This window comes from Homo sapiens, chromosome 20 (genome assembly GCF_000001405.40).
Source record: "Homo sapiens chromosome 20, GRCh38.p14 Primary Assembly".
In the NCBI taxonomy this organism is placed as follows: Eukaryota; Metazoa; Chordata; class Mammalia; order Primates; family Hominidae; genus Homo; species Homo sapiens.
This window is the reverse complement of record NC_000020.11, coordinates 24,598,680-24,618,787: the sequence shown is the minus strand read 5'-3', so window position 1 is coordinate 24,618,787 and position 20,108 is coordinate 24,598,680. Positions and strand designations below refer to the sequence as shown.

The window sequence follows — 20,108 nt, the reverse complement described above, 5'->3', positions numbered from 1 at the left end:
AGGTAAGAGAGAAAAAAATAAGAGACTCATCCAAAAGAAGAAAAGGTCACAGCAGCTCTTCTCAGTGTGTAAAATACTCCATTAACTTTAATATGTGGAGGACATTAGCATTATGCACAGTGGGAAGGAACATTTTTAACACAGAACCTCTTCTTCCAGCTTCAAAAGATGAGAGGAAAATATAAAGCTAATGAAGCTGCTGTTGGGATGATGTCTTTTTTTCCTCGGAGTATAGAGGAGAATACCCCTTTGGGTTGGCAGAATAGCAGGCTAGTCGGGACATAATTTGTCTGGTCAGAAATGACCCCGACAAGAGAAGGAGAGGCTGAGCCCCGTGGTGCCCACGAGGCCTGGTGCTCTGCCTCCCAGAGATGGTAGAGAACCCTTCTCCCTGGGCCCTCCCCAGGGACCCCCTTCCCCAGGCTCTCCCCCCTCCCCGGGATCTCCTCGCTCCCTGGGCTCTCTGCCCTCACTGGGCTCTCCCCCTTCCCTGGGCTGTCCCTCAGGACCCCCCTTCCGGGACTCTCCCCCCTCCCGGGGCTCTCCCCTCTCCCCGGGCTCTCTCCCTTCCCCGGGCTCTTACCCCTCCCCAGGCTCTCCCCCTTCCCCAGGGTCTCCCCCTTCCCTGGGCTCTCCCTACTCCTGGGCTCTCCCTCAGGACCCCCCTCCCCGGGCTTTCCCCACTCCCCGGGTTCCCCCCTACCCGAGCTCTCCCTCTTCCCCCGGCTCTTCCTGCTTCCCGGGCTCTCCCCACTCCCCGGGCTCTCTCTCAGCATCTCCCTTCCCCAGGCTCTCCCCGCTCTCCAGACTTCAGCCCCCACCCGGGGTCTCCCCCTCCCCAGGCTCTCCCCACTCCCCGGGCTCTCCCGCTTCTCCAGGCTTTCCCCGCTCCCCGGGCTCTCAACCCTCCCCAGCCTCTCCCCACTCCCATACCCTCCCCCAGGACCCCCCTTCCCGGTCTCTCCCCACTCTCAGACCCTCCCCCAGGACCCCCTTCCCGGGCTCTCCCCTCTCCCAGACCCTCCTTAAGCTTCCCGAGCTCTCCCTCAGCCTCCCCTGGGCTCTCCTTGGCCAGGAGCACAGCTGAGAAGGTCCTGGGTTCGCCTACTCTTTTGGGGGGCTTCCTTGTGGTAAATCTCAGAGGACAAAATGCACCCCCGGGCTTTGCTGGGTCGGCAGAGGAGTCTGAGGGTGAAATGGGTTGCCTATGTCTGGGGCCCCTTCGCAGAAGGAGGAGACTCTGACAAAGTCGAGTTCTCAGGAGCACCCGGAGGGCAGTGTCTAGAAGCTCATTAAAGGTCTTGTCTCACAGGCATTGCTGCTGCATCTCCAAAGGATGCAGCTGTGACTGTGAGGAAGGCACGCAAGTCCATTCCCAGCTTTCCTGGGTTCAGAGCAGTGCCATGTCCCCTTTTGTCCCTCAGTCAGCTGGGTGCGGAGGTGACAGGGCAGCAGAGAGGAGGGTGTCCTGATGGGGCAGAGTCGGTGACCGAGTTTAGGAGGTGAGGGAGAGGAAGGATGCGGGCCAGGAGCACGGAGGTTCGGTGGGGACGGCTGGAGGGTGAGCAGCCCCTTGCAGAGTCATGCGATGGGGTGCAGGCCCCGTGCTGCAGGAGAACCCTGGGGACAGCACCCAGGCGGCCACCTCTTCTCGGCCCACCTATCACACCGGGTAAATTTTCTGTCTGTTATGTAAACCTCCTGAGTGACTTAAGCAGCTACAGGAAGAGGGAGAGGCCTGAGAGTGCACGGGTGCCGCAGAGGGCTGTGGAAGCGGGCAGATACCTCCAGAAGCCACCGAAGCCACCTCCTTGGCCCACACCCTGAAGGTCAGCAGCCACCGGGGCTCTGCTACGTGGCCTGGTATTTCAAACCCTACAAGGATGGCGCCTTGGTCCTGCTCTGTGCAGTGTCCCCAGTGCCGGCACCCTGCCTGGCGACAGTAGCTCAGTGAAGGGTTGGGAAGTGCATACCTTATGAGGAGCAGCCGGGCATCACAGCAGCAGCAAACAGCGAAGCTAGCAGGTGATTTTCTCTCCTCCAAGCTCAGCCAGTTGCTCTCCAGGTGTGAAGGCTGAAGCCTCATCCAGCTGCCTCAGCCCTGTCCAGCTGCCTCACCCCCTGCACCTGCTCCTTTCTGCTCCGCCTTGCAGGGGCCTCCTTGCGCCTTCTCCTGGGAGCTGCTGCTGCTCCCCGCAAATCAGCTCCTGTGCTTCCTTCTGCTGAACCCAGAAACCTGGGCCCTGAGGTGGCTGAGAGTGCAGAGGGCAGGCCTTTCACTGCCAGAGGGGAGGCAGGTTGGCCCAGCCAACCTCGGCCCTGTCTGGAATGGGAGCTTATTTCCTTCAAATTAAAATCCCCAAAGGCAGAGCTGGGAGGATGCAGGTGGAGGAGGGGCGCGAGCCCCTGGAAAGGCCTTGGTGAAAGGCCTTGAGCTGGGTGGGAAGGAGGTGCCGGCCAGATGGACAACATGTCACAATGCCAGGTGGGGAACCTCACCTTCTTAGAGCCACAGCCCCTGTCTCGGAATAGTGTTCTTAAATGTATACAATAAAATACAGAGGCTTAAAAGAGGAACCAAATATATTGAAATAGAGCTTTGGAAACATTAAAAATCATAATCAATATAGAAATATATGGGCTACTTTAAGACACTAAATAATAACTAACATTTGGGTTTGCATTTTTAAAGTAGTGATGAGCATAAACAATATTTTAAAATACCATCAACAGCTGTTATGTGATGTGAAGACATCTGTGGTTTCTCCTGGTGCAAAGTCACAACAAACTCTGCCGTGTGTTGCTTACACTCCTAATTGGAGGAAGTGCTAAATTTCAGGTAGAGGTTGATAAAAATAATGATGTAACTAATTTTCCACCCAGGCTCGTGGATGTGCTAAATGATTTCCCTGGACCTCTTAGGGGTCCTTCCTCTACAGAGAGGGGCGGGTGGGGGAGGTGGGGCGGGGAGGGGAGAGGGAAGAATCCCATGTTCTCTGAGCTGCAGGAGGACATTAAGAACTTCGGGCAGCAGCATGCTGAGAGGAGGAGGTGGAAGATGAAAGACCGTGCAGACCTTCCATTGGGCGCCTGTTTCGGGGACAGCAGTGTGGGGATAAACTGAGGACCTGTGTGTGTCCCCTCTGAAAATGTGCCTGTGAGAAGAGGCCACTTGGGGAGGAACCCGGGTGAGTTCTGGACACCAAAAAAGCCTGCCTGGCCCCGGGTCCATGGGGAGGATGAAGTGGGTGCAGCATGGGTTCCTTGTGCTCCCAGGCTCCCGCAAAGCCCTACAGTCTTCACAGAGGGGCCTGGCAGTTAGAGAGAGGTGGCCTCTCTTGCTGGGTCAGGAGCTTGGTTCTGGATGGGTGCTAGAGGAGCTGTAAGAGCGTAGAACCTGGGGTTGGAAGACCCAGGCTGAACCCAGGTCTCGCTCATCACCCCCTTAGGGATTTCAGGTGGATGGTGGGGTTCTCTGAATCTCAGAATCCCGGTTTCCTGCAACATTGGAGTAACACCCCTCCCTGGGCCCATTTCATTTCACATGGGTGTTGGAATGTGAGGATCGTTAGAAGACTGTCACACAGGAGAGGCAGGCTATTAGGGTGGACAAAATGCTGTGTGGACCAATTACATCGATGTTCAAACATTAGCAAGGAAGCTGCCTAACCTACTTAAGATACTAATGTCCTTAAGAATTTCAACAAACATGTACAAATTGGCTGTTAATTTCAAATGTTAGCTTTCACTTATTAAAGTAGGCCACTGAAAGAACTCCTTTGAAACATAAGCTTGTTAATTGCAAGGTAACAGAATTGCTTGAAAGCAATAACGCTGCTTTAAAATATTTGACAAGTCAGATGTTTGAGAATGTTTCCCTGCACCTGGTCCAAACTATAAGGTATTGTTAAGTTCTGTTCATTTCATACTCCATTCACCAATTACATTAATTTATGCATATAAACATTTTAAGTATAGCCTAGGCATTTAAATAGGCGAAGCAGGACTTCTGCTTGACAACAATTTGTCAATAATTAGCACTTTAATAGTATTTGTGTTTTATTTATACCCTGACAACTTCCAAAAAGGATCTGTGTGGAGGGTTAGCTCATTCCTCCCATATGACTCCCTCCCTCCTTTCCCCTCCCCTCCCCTTCCCTCCCTCCCTCCCTTCCTTCCTTCTTTTGATTTTCCTAGTCTCAGTTTCTAAGATCTAATTTAATATATTGCTGTGATCACTCCAGAGTCTTAAATTAGCAACTTTAGGTTAGTTCCCCTCAGATTCTGTTTTCACTGAAGAACGGGAGGTTTGGGGAAAGTGCTCTGATGAGCCAGTTCCCTTGGTTGTTGCCTCCCTACTTCACTCTTTACAACAACCAGTCAAACAAACAAACAAAAAAGTATATTTATTGTATTCCCTTACCAAGCCACAAATTACATGAATACTAAAAAGTCTAATCATGCACATTAATATCTCAGAGTGAGGCTGGGTGCAGTGGCTCATGCCTGTAATCCCAGCAATTTGGGAGGCTGAGGTGGGAGGATCATTTAAGCCCAAGAGTTCAAGACCAGCCTGAGCAACATAGTGAGACCGCATCTCTACAAAAAATTTAAAAATTAGCCAGGTGTGGTGGGCATGGTGGTGTGTGCCTATAGTCCCAGCTACTTGGGAGGCTGAGGCAGGAGGATCAATTGAGCCCCATAGGGCAAGGCTGCTATGAGCCGTGATAGTGCCATTGCACTCCAACCTGGGCAACAGAGAGAGATACTGTCAAAAAGAACAAAAGATCTGAGAGTGATGCCCAACCCCGCTGGCGATCAGAGTGCTCTCCATGGTCTGCCTCACCCAGCACTGGTAACAGCCTCTCTCCCCTACCTGGGAGGCAGCATGGCCTCTCCATTCACGCTTCCCCGCAAAGCCCTAGATTACCATCCTCTTCTGTCTCTAGACACTAAGAAAATTCAGGCTCCAAATCCCATTTATGCCATTTATGCCCTTGTCCTTTGGGTGTCATGATTTAAGCTGGGAATGTTCCCTGAAGTCCCCACTGTAGCAGGAGAAGAGCTGCAGGGGCGCGGCCGTCAGTCTAGAAGGGCTCTGGGAGATGCCGCAGGAGCTGGCTCTGTGTGGGCTGAGCAGGGGTTCCTGGCACACGGTCAGGAGGGCAAGCATGAAGGGAGAGCCTCTGTGTGGAGGTGCCAAGGCAGGGGGTGCGGGTGGCTTTGGGACCCGCAATGGGGGACACAGGAGGCTTGGGGTCTAGCTAGGCACAACGGGTGGGTTGAGGGCAAGTCCTCGCCCAGTCCTGGTTCCATGCTGGGGTCCATGGGCAGGTCTGTGTCATGGAAAGCTGATTGTGAGGCCAGCAAGGAGACTGCACCAAATCTGGGCATGCAGCTCTGTTCAGGGAGACGGCAGGACAGAGAGCGGCTGTCCAGGTGCGGATGGTGCTTTCTCTCTGATTTGCAGAGTAGGCTTGCTTGCTCCCATACAGCACACACAGCAGCTGGCAGCCTCACCACATCCTGTCTTATCTCAGAGGCCCTGGGACAGGGAGTAAGTTGGCCAGGGTCACATAGCTGGGAATGGCCGTCACCAGGATGCTTTCCAAACTTCCAACCCCAAGCACCCAGACCCTTTATCTGAGCAACAGGGAGGTCTGGTATCTTCTAGGTTGCCTTACAGGTGGGCAGTTTAGCCAAGCATTGGGAGGATCTGCTCTGACACCCTGCCTTCACCCCATCCCACGGTGCCATCTCCCAGAGACGCAGTCTCCTCATCCATAAAGCATTCCTTCCCATCTCATCAGTGTTGTGGAGGCACACATGTGATGGAACTCATGAAGCACTCAACATGGTGCCTGGCACATGGAAGCGCTCAGCATGTGATGGCCTGTGGTTGAGATGGGCACACAGGATGTGTCCTGTTGCTAAGGTAGACCCTCTCTGGGGTTTGTCCCTGCCCCTGAGTGACTGGCAGTGATGTTTCTAGATCCAGGAGCCTCTCCGACCCTGAGTTCTTGACTCCTGCAACCATTTGTTTATGGACCACTAAGAGCTGGAACCCTTCATGCACACTTTTTGAAGATGAAGAGCTATTATAATTCTATGCTAGGACTGAGGGGGAATATTTCTGAGTTAAGATATATTTAGAAACATATCTAAGGTTGACTTTCCTTTAAGCCTTTTCTCCTAGCTTTTGAATTCTGTTAAGTTACTGGGAAATAAAATTAATCTTTTGCAGGTTAATGAAAGGTTGTGCCAAGATCAGTTTTAAGTCCTGTTGCCAAAGCCATTCTTTAGTCTTACGGCTTGGGATGCCACGTCATGAATAATAGTGCAGACTGCTTTCTTCTCCTGCTTTAAGACAAAGGCACAAGGATGTTTATGTCAACAGGGACCATCACAATATTCCCAAGTAGACTCAGGACTCGGGGGCACCTGATGTCTGTCCTGGTACCAAAGGGTTAAGCCCTGTCCAAAAATTAAAGACATCTTCCCAGCCCCTTCAGCTAGGGTCACACTGTTCCTATCTAAATAAAAAAGAGGAATTATTTGGAGAAAAGAAAAGTCTTGGGAGGCGTCCGTGCTCCTAAGTGGTGATGAGAATTAATGAAGAATTTGTAGAAAGAATCAGCCTTTCTCATGAACAGCACACAATGGTGGCAGGTTGAATTGTTTGCCTCTAATCACGCAGAACCTTAGAGAACTTGATACATAAACTATGTGATATTCTCTGGGACAATATTTTTCTTGCTCTTGCCATTAAGTGGCTGTGTCCCTGTCAGCACAGCTATGCAATGGAACTGGATATGTCAGGAACACTCTCATTAAGACATGCAATTACAGGAAGCAGTGCAGGGTTTGGTGTTCCCTGTATTTTATTTTAGAACACCTGAATTACAGGATTATCCCATTCTCAGGGATCACATCTGACAGTAACAACAAGAGGGCTCTGGCCAGATTCCCTATGATTCTTGAGCTTAGAATGCTCAAAGGAGATCAGCACCATGGGCTAAAACTGAACAGCAGAGCCATGCTGCATAAGGAAGGGCCTGGGAGAGGCTCCTGGCCCATTTCCTGTGGAAGAAGTGGAAGCTTGTGGGTAGAAGGCCTCCAGGCAGAGGCTGAGGAGGGGCTCCTGGAGGGGTGGCATGGGAGGAGAGGCCATGAAAGGTGGGGGTGGCAAGGGCATACCAGAGTACAGAAGACAGGAGAGAGTGGGAGGGGGAGGGTGTGACCCTCCCGAGACCCCGTGGGGAGGATGGTCCAGCTATGGGTGGGAGGGGGTGCTGGAAGTAGAGCCCTAAGCTGAGTTGCAAGGGCCACCAGCCTCCAGCAAAGGTGCTCTGAGTGAGCTCTGCAGAGAATCAGGAACCGCTGAAGTCTTCGCTGGGGACAGGTACCAGCTTACTGCCTTAGGAGCATTAACTTGGGGACTTTGGCTGACACAAGAGAAAAGGGAGGTATGAAAACAAGGTCGTGAGCTGGAAGAATAGTCTAACGGTTCCAAAAAGAGGCAGGTCATGAGAACCAGAGTAGAGCAAAGGGACAGCAAAGAGGAATGGAGAGGCCAGGAGCCTTCATAGAGAGAGAATGTTTGGGATTCACAACCTGGAGAATGTGGTGGGGCTAGGGGAGGGAGCCGTGGGCCGTGGTTTGGAGCCTGGATGTGGGCAAACAGTAGTTCCAGCAGCAGAAATAAGGCGAACACTCAGAGGCAATATCCTGAGCATCGCGTGGTTCAGCTAGGGGAGCAGATTTGAGAGAATCTGCCAGGAATTGTGCCTGGGAGCTGGCCGAAGACAGAAGATGCCCCTCTGACTAAGGAAATAAGATGCCAGTTCAACTCATTTCCTGTCATTGCAGCAGGGCAAAGTCCTCAAAGAAGACCCAGCCCTTCTTGACAAGGCAAAGGTGCCGAGAGTGGCCTGGCTTCCTCCTGTGGATCCATCTCCGTCTTCCTGGGCAGCACCAAGCAAAGAACACTTACATGCATCTGGGCAAATACACAGTGCCTGGTCCAGGCAGGGAGAAGGTCAGATGGCTTCGTGAAGGGCTCTGCCTCCCTCCAGACTCATCAGCTCATCAGCCAACTTGGGGCAACTCCCTTTCTCACGATTCAACTTTCATGCATAATAAATTGTGTCCTGCTGAGAGTGTTACTTGCAAGATACCTTTCCAATTACCTAAAACTCAGCTTAAGGACCAGAACAATCAGGCAATGCATAAATCTGAGCTTCTTTTGTGTGTGGTGTGTGTGACTCAGGAACCCTGCTGTGGAATCAGAGATGGGGATAGTACATTCATTCTGGCTGATTAGCACTCGCCCCCCCGTGTGCAGAGCTACATGCATAAACATGCTTCCGAGTGCCCACGGCGGGTGATCCGGAATCGTTGCGTGGACACAGGTGGCTCTGGAATGAAGAATGACCACTTACAATATCCCTTTTGGTTTTCACACTCAGTATGACATTCCCAAAGGAATGCAAAGCATTTTATATGCCTATAAAGACCAGGCCCAAATTATTCAAAATTATCACAGGAATGCAGAGAATCATTTTAAAACTGAGCTTGGAGAGCCTCAAGATACCCCGTCTCTCCACCCACCAGTGTCAGTCTAAAATTAGCTGGGTGAGAATTGCAATTTCCATGTTTTCACCTGTATTTAGGATTCCTGGCAGCACCACAAAGTATTGCCCACCTGCTCTTCGTGTTTTCTATGCCTGAAAACCTTTCCAGGATGGCCTGGAAGCTCCTGTACTTTTCCTTTTGACCAAAAAGGGATGACCAGAGGCCCCATGTGGTGGTGGTGAGCAGTGTTGCACGTGGGATGGGCCTGGGAACATAGGGAAGTGGCAAGGAGGATAATGGCAGAATGGGGGTAATGGGGAAGCCTTGGGGTGCAGGCATGTCTGGAAAACACAAGCTCAGGTTGGGTGGAGTGGGCTCTTGAGGGGTGATACTGTCCAGATGGAGGTTGGGCCTTGCACAGTGAGCTGAGATATGAATGTTAAGGTGGCCCCAAACCATGGAGCTTCTGGAGAATCACAGTTGTGCTAGTGACTTTGGTTATAAACTCATCCTTCCAGTTTCCTATACTCTAGTGCAGGGCCAGCTCTCAAAGGCACCTCTCTCTGCCCGTCTGTTTTGCTATTTCCAAATCCCCTGAGCAATCTGCAGTCCTGTTGCATCATCATTTATTTCCGAATTCACTGAGGCATCCATCCCTTCCAGCTCCCAGCTGAGTCCAGGGACTCATCATCCTCTGCTCCTGTGTGTGCTTGAGTGCTGCCACAATGCAAAGCTTCCAGGGACGTACATATGGACTGATACAAGTGAATGCTGCAACTGTGCTTCAGTGACCCTTTACTACTTTATACACAGTCTAGACAGGTTAAAAATAAAGAGTGCCCCGTCTAAAAGGAAGGACAGAAAAAGAAAAGCAAAGAGCATCCCACATCCGCCTTCCACGTCAAAGCACAACCTCAAGGTAATTTTTTCAGCTCTAAATTTGGCATTTGCTATGCTCTCTGTCTGGGATTCTTATAACTCCCTAAGCACCAGAAAATGCTAAGCTAAGCAAAGAGGCAAGAAAAGGGGGACATTGCCGAGAACTGCCACCTCCAGAGTAGTGAAGCATGGCTCCTGTCCTCTTGCTATGACATTTTTCTACAGCAGAAGTGCAGATGGTAATGTGATGAGCACCTTTAAAACACCCATGACACTGAGACGTACGTAAAATAGCCCTGGATTCCCATGAGAATCTATAATGTGCTGATCAACCCATGACTCATTTGTCACCCCTCATTTAAATCTGTAGGTTTGGCTTGCACCAACATACATGTGAGTCCAGACACACAAAATTACTGTCCTCCACACAAAGCAGTACTGTATGCTGTTTTTCTGAACATCATCTAATCTTAGCTTTAATTCTAGAATGCAAGGGTTGGTCAAGAGAACTGAGCTTATATTATCAATATCATTCACATGATTCTCTCCATCTACACTACTTCTCAGCCCCATCCTTACTGACGGCCATCGGGCGGTCTGAGAGGTACTTGTTGCCTTATTTGTGGCTGAAAGCTTTTGCTTACCAACAGGAAAGGTAGTTTCAGTCACCTTTTAATTATTGTCTCATCCGTGAGATCAGCGTACATAATATCCTGTGTATTCCTCCCAAGCATCTTGTTAAGTACACAGGTTTCATGTTCCTATGTACAGAGGTCTGGACACGGGGGCCTTGCGGTGCTGTCACTTGAAGCAGGTCAGTTGGCGGGTGATGGATTGTCACTGTTAAGATTTTATTGGTGGGGCGCGGTGACTCACGCTTGTAATCCCAGCACTTTGGGAGGCTGAGGTGGGCAGATCACCTGAGGTCAGGAGTTTGAGAACAGCCTGGCCAACATGATGAAACCCTGTCTCTACTAAAAGTACTAAAATTAGCTGGGCATGATGGCAGGTGCCTGTAGTCCCAGCTACTTGGGAGGCTGAGGCAGGAGAATCGCTAGAACCCGGGAGGCGGAGTGAGCTGAGATTGCGCTACTGCACTCCAGACTGGGTGACAGAGCGAGACTGTCTCAAAAAAAAAAAATAGGAGATAATATTGCCAAAATTTAAAATAATTTCTGTATTATTTGTCATGGGTTTATACTCTAGAAAGCATTGATAGATCATATCTTTATAATTAAAATATCTTTTATTAGGTATACAACTGGAAGGAAACACTAAAATTCAGCACTGGAGACTAGAGGGTTTAGCTGCCGAAGATGTTTTGAATGTGCTCTGACATCTTGTTTCATAAGAGGATCTCATCCGGGAAAAGTGTTTAAAATAGATTTCTGTATAAACCTGTATTTTAAATATACTTGAAGTAAATTGCAGGACATTATGTTAATGCATTAACGTTACCTTCGGGTATCTGAGATACACATAACTGCCCTTGACTTACCCACTGTAAATATTGGGAGTTTTAAAAGATCATTAGGTTTTCGTCAAATGGAGTACACCTAAAAAGTCTACAAAAACGGAAGAAAGTAATTGATAGAAGGTTCTCCAACTGTGGCCAACTCAAGTCCCAGTGTGCTAGTGAGAGAGCAGTTGGGCTTCCCTGTCCCCACAGCTGCCTGTGAATTTCGGCCCTTGAAGCAGGGAGAGGGGGAGCCCGAGGCCGTCTCCACTGTGAATGTGGCCCATGGAGATGTCTCGCTCTTGAGGAGAAAAAGTCACAGCCAGGCAGCAGGAGGGGTGAACATTCGTCATGGGCCGAGGCTCTTCCTAGCCCCACTCTCCACCCCAGCAGCCCGGGTGAATCAGGCATTGAGGACGGCCCTTTGGCCAGAACCAGGGTGCCCAACTGGGACTCTCATCAGCCCGAACGAGGTGGAGTTTTCTTTCTTTTCTTTATTCTTTTTTTTTTTTTTTTTTGAGACGGAGTCTTGCTCTGTTGCTCAGGCTGCAGTGCAGTGGTGTGATCTTGGCTTATTGCAACATCCGCCTCCTGGGTTCAAGCAATGCTCCTGCTTCAGCCTCCACTAGTAGCTGGGATTACAGATGCACGCCACCACACCCAGCTAATTTTTATATTTTTAGTAGAGATGGGTTTTTGCCATGTTGGCCAGGCTGGTCTCGAACTCCTGACCTCAGGTGATCCAACTGCCTCAGCCTCCCAAAGTGCTGGGATTATAGGCATGAGCCATGGTGCCCGGCCAAGGTGGAGTTTTCAAAAAGAACTTTCACCAGGTCATCAATGGCAAACAAAGGCCAAATGAGTGGAAAGAAAGAGGTCCGTTCATATAACACATGATTCTTGCAAACTCCTTATTTCAAACTCCCTATTGACAGTACTGCCTCAACTGCCCAGGGCAGCTTCAAAATGAAGATCCCAGAATCATCCTCCAAACACTGCTTCTTCTGCTCGTCAGCATCCACTTTCCAAGTCAGCATCCAGGGGTAATCATTCTGACGAATACAGGAGCACACAGCCTTCTGCTGACTCCAATCTTCTTGCTTGGCAGCCTGGCCCCCACTGATCCTGTATGCTCCCCTACATAACCCCAGGGATGGGCACTTGTGCTGCGCTCTGCCCACCTGTAGCACAGAATCTAAACTCCGGATCTCTACTTCCAGAAAACCCATACCGTAAGGATTAACTGGGCTACAGTAAGTTTCCTAAATCTATTCAAAGTAGCATCCAGATGGACATTTCTAATTCAGATTTGTTCTCTTTTTATAATAACTTTCTCAATAATATAATATTCAATTCTATAATAACCTAAGGTTTTACCTTAAAGTGCAATTCCTGCTTTTGATTTAGCATGAGGTCAACAGAACCTAAGATTTGGGGACAAAGTGAAATCTGGGGTAATTATCTGCTAGATATCTATTAGAATTCAGTGAAATAGTTTCCCAGAGAAAATTGTTCATGAGTTGTCGCTCATGGCAATAGGGGTCAGTCCCCTGACCATCAGCTGTTCAGGAGGCAGGGACATCCCACTAACCACAGCCTCATAGCCACATCCCCTGACAGGTGGAGCTTTGAGACTTGGCTTGAGGCCATCTGAGGCCAGCACTGACTGCCCACATGCCTGTTCTGGAGACACTTGCAATGATGCTCCAGTGCCTCTGTGATCAACCAGCACATTGTTGGATCATCCCAGCCTCTGGCCAGGCTGGCCTGGTAGTCACAGAAATGGCCACAGATAGTGACCAGAAGCCGAGGGACACCACACAAAACCATAGTGCTGTAGGACCTGCACAGAAGTCCTCGATCTTAAAAGAGATGCAAAAGAAACATGTGGACAGCTTTACTGTCGGAGGCATGCTAAATTCTAAAAGCTTCAGGTACATCATTTAAAGAAAAATGATCACATGTTGGAAATGTAATTGGAGGTGAGCCCTAAGTCCAAAGGGAAGAGTGCACAGCTTGTAATGTAATGCATTGCTATGTCAACTCTGGGTCCCACACGTCACAGGCTTTGCAGACTCTGCCCTTGGACAATCAACATGCATGTTTTCTCTGCTACAGACAAATAATCACAAAATCAAGATGCTAATTACCAAGACAATGTATCACCTATCAGTGGAAAAAAAAATCTATCCAATCCACTGCAAGGAGCAAAGCAGACATGATGTATTTGTTCATTTATACACTAGAACAAGTTAAAATCAGTAACTAACTGCAGCATGGATTCCAGAGGAAAAAAATACATAAGAAATCTGATTTGTCTTGGCTGCACCAGATCATTAATATTTATATGGAATTGTTTAAATCCAGAAGTTGCAAAACAGCTCTCAGAAGCTACAATCAGCATATTAAATATGCATATTGAGACAGAGATACAGACTGGGGGAGGGAGAGAGAGAGAGGAGAGATACCATTTGACTATTTAACTGCCCTCACACATTTCCCTGATACAAGTTAAAATAAACCCATGTAGTAATATTGGAGCCGTTCCTCTAGCAATGTTTTTCAATGCATTTGTCTGCAAAGTCAATGTTATGCTTGTATCTAGCTGGGCTCTTGTAGCCCTCATTGCAACCTTCGTTTACATGTCACTCACCCAGGGAGGTAGATGTGGGCCCACGGCAAACCCTTCCCACCCATCTGTCCCTGGGTAGCATTTTCTTTCTGCGTGGCTCCATCACTCCTGCTTGGTTGGGATGCCCTTTGCCAGGACTTTCTCCTGGACCCCAGCACAGGTTTCATGTCTTTACCCAGATGCCCCCCAACTACCTGCCCATGACCTTGGATGCCCTGTGACTCTCAAGGGAAAACTTGGGTTTTGGGCTGATTCTGAATCTACCAGAGCCTAACAGATGCATTCATTAGATGGGACTCAATTTACTATAAATCTGAGGACGTTAAAAAATAATGAACTTAAGGATAAAAGTGGGATCTGGCGGGGTGCACGGAATATTATCCCAGTGTTACCGGAAAGGAGTCCCGATCCAGACCTCAAGAGAGGGTTCTTGGACTTCATGCCAGAAAGAATTTGAGGTGGGTCCATAGAGTAAAGTGAAAGCAAGTTTATTAAAAAAGTAAAGGAATAAAAGAACGGCTACTCCACAGGCAGAGCAGCCCCAAGGGAGGGCTGCTGGTTGGCTCTTTTTATGCTTATTTCTTGATTATTTGCTAAACAAAGGGCGGATTTTTCATGATTTTTCTGGGAAAAGAGTGAGCAATTCCCAGAACTGAGGGTCCCTCCCCTTTTTGGACCATATAGGGCAACTTCCTGACATTGCCTTGGCATTGTAAACTGTCATGGCGCTGGTGGGAGTGTCTTTTAGCATGGCGGTGCATGTAATTAGCATATAATGAGCAGTGAGGAAGATCAGAGATCACTTTTGTCGCTATCTTGGTTTTGGTGGGTTTTGGCCAGCTTCTTCACTGCATCCATTTATCAGCAAGGTCTTTATGACCTGTATCTGGTGCCAACCTCCTGTCTCATCCTGTGACTTAGAATGCCTAACCTGGGAATGCAGCCCAGCAGGTCTCAGCGTTACCTTAACCAGCCCCTGTTCAAGATGGAGTCACTCTGGTTCAAATGCCTCTGACACCCACACTTATGGATGATTATGAACAAAACCATCGAGTGTGTGGAATCCGTGGAGCTCCAGTTCCACACAATGTACATGTTCTAAGCACACAACTTTGAAAAAAAAAGAAAGAATAATACAAATTTCAAAAGAAGTCTGTCTTTGTGACAAGGTTTAGAGAGAACATGAAAATGTTGTTTGTTTTGGTAAGATAAATGATTAGAAAGATGGACAGGTGACAGCTTCGGAGAAACCCAGGGCATTTTGTTTCAGATGTTTGGGAAAGTCCCAGTTCAATTATTGTGTCAGGCAAAGGTTGACTGTGAATGTGCTCCTGGTTGGGGGCAGTTGAGTGGAGGAGAATGAACTCCCCTGGCATTCTTTCAGATATTCTTCTCCCCATTTGTCTGCAGGAGCAGGTATCCACTGTGACCCCACAGTGCCTGACGAATGTCTCTGCTCATTTCCTTGTGAAGAAAATTCTTCTGGGCTAAGGATGAGTTGTTTTCAGAACACACCGTTTCCATATGCTGCTTTCTGACAACTCCTCCTGATGGTCTACTCTACTCTCAATGCAATGCTTCCTCGCTGAGAATGCCCTGTTAGTGGACAGACCCTGCTTTGCACTCAGGGCTTCTGACCCTCCGCTGCCATCCCAGGCGTGTGTCCATGTCTCCCTTCTGCTGCATACAGCTGAAGTCCTGCGATTTACTTCCTCCCTGAGGCAGTGTCCCACTCAGGGCACGCCTGTCATTATTGTTTCCACTTACCGTGCAGGAACAAGCCAGAAAGACCAGGGAATTAACACCTCTTGTGAACAGCTCTCACCTATGGGCACCTCCAGCCCTCACCTCCCTGCTCAATGGCAGAGCTTGGAGCACTAGGAATGAAGCTCTCCCCAGAAGTCCCCATGGGTTGGGGACACTTGTCTACAGCCCTGCCAAAGGCATGTGCTCAGAGGATTTGGCAGCATGGTTTGATCCTAGCCACGAACAATCTCTCCCAACTCCGGACACTTTTTGGTAATGCTGCATTTATAAACCACATGGTTCATCTTTATGAAATGACCAAGCAGAACACGGGTGTGCACATCTTTGCATCAGATACAAACACAACCAGCATTTAAATGAGCACCTACAATGTGGCAGATTCCATGCCCAGTGGCTCTTTGTAGCATTTAAATAAAGATTGTTTCTTTATTTGCATTGGAGTGAGCTGTATGGCCTTCGTCCCATGTCCTGACACTCCTCATTAGCCTCGATAGCATTGTGTTGGTTACTCATGCAGTGCAAAGAGCCAGTTAGAATTTCAGTTAGCACCAGAAGAAATGAGAATTCAAGTGACAGATAATCTAGGTCCTTCAACCAAGCTTCCAATTTTGTAGTTAAAAATATTTCTGTTATAAAAATAATACATTCTCTGTATAAACAATTAAGGAAACAGAAATATAGATTTCTGCTTCTAATAATGCCAGACTGGTAACCCTTCTACAGAAGACAGCTAAAAATCCTTAAAGAAACATTAAAGAAAATATTTTATAAAGCATTAAAGAGGTAAGAAGATGAGGGATTATCAGGCCAAGGCCAGGGAGAGGACAATAATTCAGAAGGGTGGACCAGGCATATGAGGACACATATTCCCTAGGGATGTTTGCTGACCATAAGAGGTGTCTGAGAGGGTGAATTTTGGGTTACTTTGTGAGATCATAGGAATCCAAGTTGGATTTCAGAGCCCAGTGAAGAGGGAGATCCTGTAAACCAGCCATAGGATGAAGCACCAAAGAGCTAAGCCATGAGAGAAAAGGTGACATGAAAGTACACCAGCCCCTCATGAGCTACAGCCCAGTTCTGCTTCACCTCGGAGCTTGAGTGTGGACTAAGATGGTCTTGAATTTTTTGTGCCGTATGTGCTGGAAAAACAGCAAAGAAATAACTTATCTGAAGAAAGGTGGCATCATCTTCATCTTCAAAATATTACTATGAATACTTTGTCAGAAACAATGACCAGCATAAAATCAGTAACATCTGAGAAAATATACCATGAGTGAGAACAAGGAAAAACAACAAACACCCAGACTCACAGGGATCCCAGGTATCATAATGATCAGGCATAGACTATAAAATACCTCTGCTTACTATGTTCCAGGAAATAAAACAAAGCTTGGAAGTGTTGGCAGGTGATTGAAACATACAAGAAGGGTTGTAGGTGATCTGAAAAAGAAGACACATGGGAATTCTAGAACTGGAAAATAAAAAAAAAAAACAATATTATAATGGGTTTGGCAGAATTTGAGACACAACTACAGAGGAAACTGTGGACCAGAATTCTATACCTAATGATCATACCTGCAAGAATAAATGTAATAAAAAGGCATTTCCAATAACATAAAACAGAGAGTGTTTACCACAAGAAAAGCCACTCTAAAGGAAATTCTAAAGGATGTTCTTTAGGCAGAAGGGTATCATTCAAGCTGGAAGATTAAAAAATTTAGGAAGAAATGAGGAGCAAAGTAGTGGAATCTAGGGATTTCTACAGATAAATATCAACAATGTAAAACAATAACATTGTCATTTTGAAGTATTTCTTTCTGTCTGTCTATCCATCCATCCCCAGAAAAGATAATCTTCTCTTTAGTTCTTAAAGGCCCAAATTCATATTTTAAAAATATTATTAAAATTGATTATTTTGATGAAACTGACAAAATCCTAGAAAAATATAACTTGCCATAACCGATATGAGAAACAACAGAAAGCCTAATCAGAGATATCGATATTAAAGAAAGGAAATCACTAATTTAAAATCTTCCTATGATGAGAAGTCCAGGCTCAAAGAGCTCCACCAATGACTGCTATCAAAGATTTGAAAAATAGGTCAGTTTTAAATAAATGTTCAGAGAACAGAAAAAGGGAACTCTTCACAACCAGAGTAACATTGATATCAAAACTTAATGAAGAAATTACCACAAAGGATAATATACATCAATCTCTCTCGTAAACAGAAACACAAAAATGTTAAGCAAAAGAGCACACAAATTCAGCAACATATACAAATTATGATCAATTAGGGTTTATTCTAGGAATGCAAGGTTGGTTTAACATTTCAAACCAGTCAATGTAATTTATATTAGTAGATTAAAGGAAAATATTCATATAATTGTTTTCCATTTGCACAAAAAGCTTTCGGTAAATCCAACAGCCATTAATGATTTAAAAATGAGTTACCTAAAGAGCCTACTTAACAGTGAAATGTTGGAAATTTTTCCGTTGATACAAGATAAGAGTGCCATTCAGATGCAATGTGGCTTTGCAAGTGCAGTAAGGAAAGATGAAGACATGGGCTGGGCATGGTGGCTCATACCTGTAATCCCAGCACTTTGGGAGGCCAAGGCAGGCAGATAGCCTGAGGTCAGGAGTTCAAGACCAGCCTGGCCAACATGGTGAAACTCCGTCTTTACTAAGAATACAAAAATTAGCCAGGCGTGGTGGCGGGCACCTGTAATCCCAGCTACTCAGGAGGCTGAGACACGAGAATTGCTTGAACCTGGGAGGTGGAGGTTGCAGTGAGCTGAGATCACGCCATTGCACCATTGCACTCTGGTCTAGGTGACAAGAGTGAAACTCCATCTCAAAAAAAAAAAAAAAAAAGAAAGAAAGATGAAGACATGAAGGTTAAGGAACTCAAATTTAGGTGGTAAAATAATAAAAATGTGCAAGAAAAGTGTGTTCTGTGGAGGTCATTCCAGTGGTCACTGGGTGGGGAGGAAGGGCAGCGATAAGGAGGAAGGATGGCTGGAAGGTGCTAGTCCTTCTACCCTGGGGGTCCCAGGGACATTCCTGACCTGGGTGATGGTGACTTGGCCACTTGCTTTAAAATAATTTGTTAAGCTATGCATTTAGGTTTCTATTCTGACTGTTATTTTCAAACTAGGAAAGGTTTGACAATCCCCTTCACATTAACGGTGCTAAAACAAACAAATAAATAAACACAAAGACTCATTCAGGAAGGAAGAGAAAAACCACCCATTGCCTACAGATGGCGTGATTTTCTTCCAGTCTCTTTTCCTTTTTTCTAACTTTCAAAAATGTATAATAATATATCACATATGTGGAAAGCTCGATATTTTTTGTGAAGACATATGAAAGAAATTACTTGATTCTTCCAACAAATGACTGTATACTGTAGCATAACTTTTTAAAAATTTGTACAAATTTATGAGATACCTCTGAAATTGTGTTAGATGTATATAATGTGTAGTGATCAAGTCAGGGTATTTAAGGTGTCCATCTTCTGGATATAATAGAGTTTTGTTTAACTATAGTCACCCTACACTGTTATCAACCGTTGAATGTATTCCCTCTATCTAACTGTACATTTGTACCCTGTAACTCACTACTCTTCATCGTCCCCCAACTACTCACTCTTCCCAGTCTCTGTTATCTATCTTTCCACTCTCTATCTCCATGTGATCAGACTTTTTAGCTCTCATGTGTATAAGTGAGAGCAGGTAGTATTTGCCTTTTTGTACCTGGCTTATTTCACTTAATAATCTCCAGTTCCATCCACGATGCTGAAAATGGCATTATTCCATTCTTTGTTATGGCCAAATCGTATTCCATTGTGTATCTATACCACATTTTCTTTATCCATTTGTCCACTGATTGGCACTTCGGTTGATTCCATATTTTTGCCATTGTGAACAATGCTTCAGTAACTATGAGGGTGTAGGTATTTATTTGATATAATTATTCCTTTTTCTTTGGGTAGATACCCAGTAGTGGGATTGCTGGGTCAAAGGTATTCTATTTTTAATTTTTTGAGAAATCTCCATACTGTTTTCTATAATGGTTGTACTAGTTTGCATTCTCACCAACAGTATATAAGAGTTCCCATTTCTCTGCATACTTAGCAACATCTGTTATTTTGTCTTTTTAATAATAGTCATTCTGACTGGGATAAGATGATGATATCTCATTGTGATTTTGATTTGCATTTTTCTGATGATTAGTGGTGTTCAGCATTTTTTCATACATCTGTTAGCAGTTTGTCTTATTTTGAGAAATCTATACAAATCCTTTGCCCACTTTTTAATGGGATTATGTGTAGGTTTTTTTCCTGTTGTTTGAATTTCCTGCATATTCTGGATATTAATCCCTTGTGAGATGTCTAGTTTGCAAATATTTTCTTCCTCTCTGCAAGTTGTCTCTTTACTCTGTTGAATATTTCTTTTGCTGTGCAGAAGCTTTTCTGTTTAATTAAGTCCTGCTTGTCTATTTTTGTTTTGGTTGCCTGTGCTTTTGAGGTCCTAGCCATTAATCTTTCGCCTAGACCAATATCTAGGAGCGATTTCCCTAGGTTTTCTTTAGTAGTTTTATAGTTTTTGGTCTTATGTTTAAGTCTTAAACTCATTGTGAGTTGATTTTTGCGTATGATGAAAGATAAAGGTCTACATAGTGTCAATTTTAAAATCACAAAACTGACCCTTTGGGATAAATGGAGAATAACTGATAAGACATAATTAAAAAATGTTTCCATGGGAAAAATAGTAAACCAAAACCAAGCACTGTTAAACT

General features: G+C 46.3%; 1 protein-coding gene across 21 annotated transcripts in view, besides 2 other annotated features; it reads right to left on the bottom strand.

Annotated features, from left to right (window-relative positions):
* SYNDIG1 (synapse differentiation inducing 1) overlaps nucleotides 1–20,108 on the bottom strand; it is a 196,988-nt gene that overhangs the window by 47,829 nt on the left and 129,051 nt on the right. The window lies entirely within an intron of this gene.
* Nucleotides 1,996–2,813: an enhancer, noted in NCBI's record as "H3K4me1 hESC enhancer chr20:24596611-24597428 (GRCh37/hg19 assembly coordinates)". NCBI's record gives its function as "activates a minimal SCP1, AML or CMV promoter by ChIP-STARR-seq in naive H9 embryonic stem cells {active_cell/tissue: H9 hESC(naive)}" and the evidence as "EXISTENCE:reporter gene assay evidence [ECO:0000049][PMID:30033119]".
* Nucleotides 7,622–8,521: an enhancer, noted in NCBI's record as "OCT4-NANOG-H3K27ac-H3K4me1 hESC enhancer chr20:24590903-24591802 (GRCh37/hg19 assembly coordinates)". NCBI's record gives its function as "activates a minimal SCP1, AML or CMV promoter by ChIP-STARR-seq in naive H9 embryonic stem cells {active_cell/tissue: H9 hESC(naive)}" and the evidence as "EXISTENCE:reporter gene assay evidence [ECO:0000049][PMID:30033119]".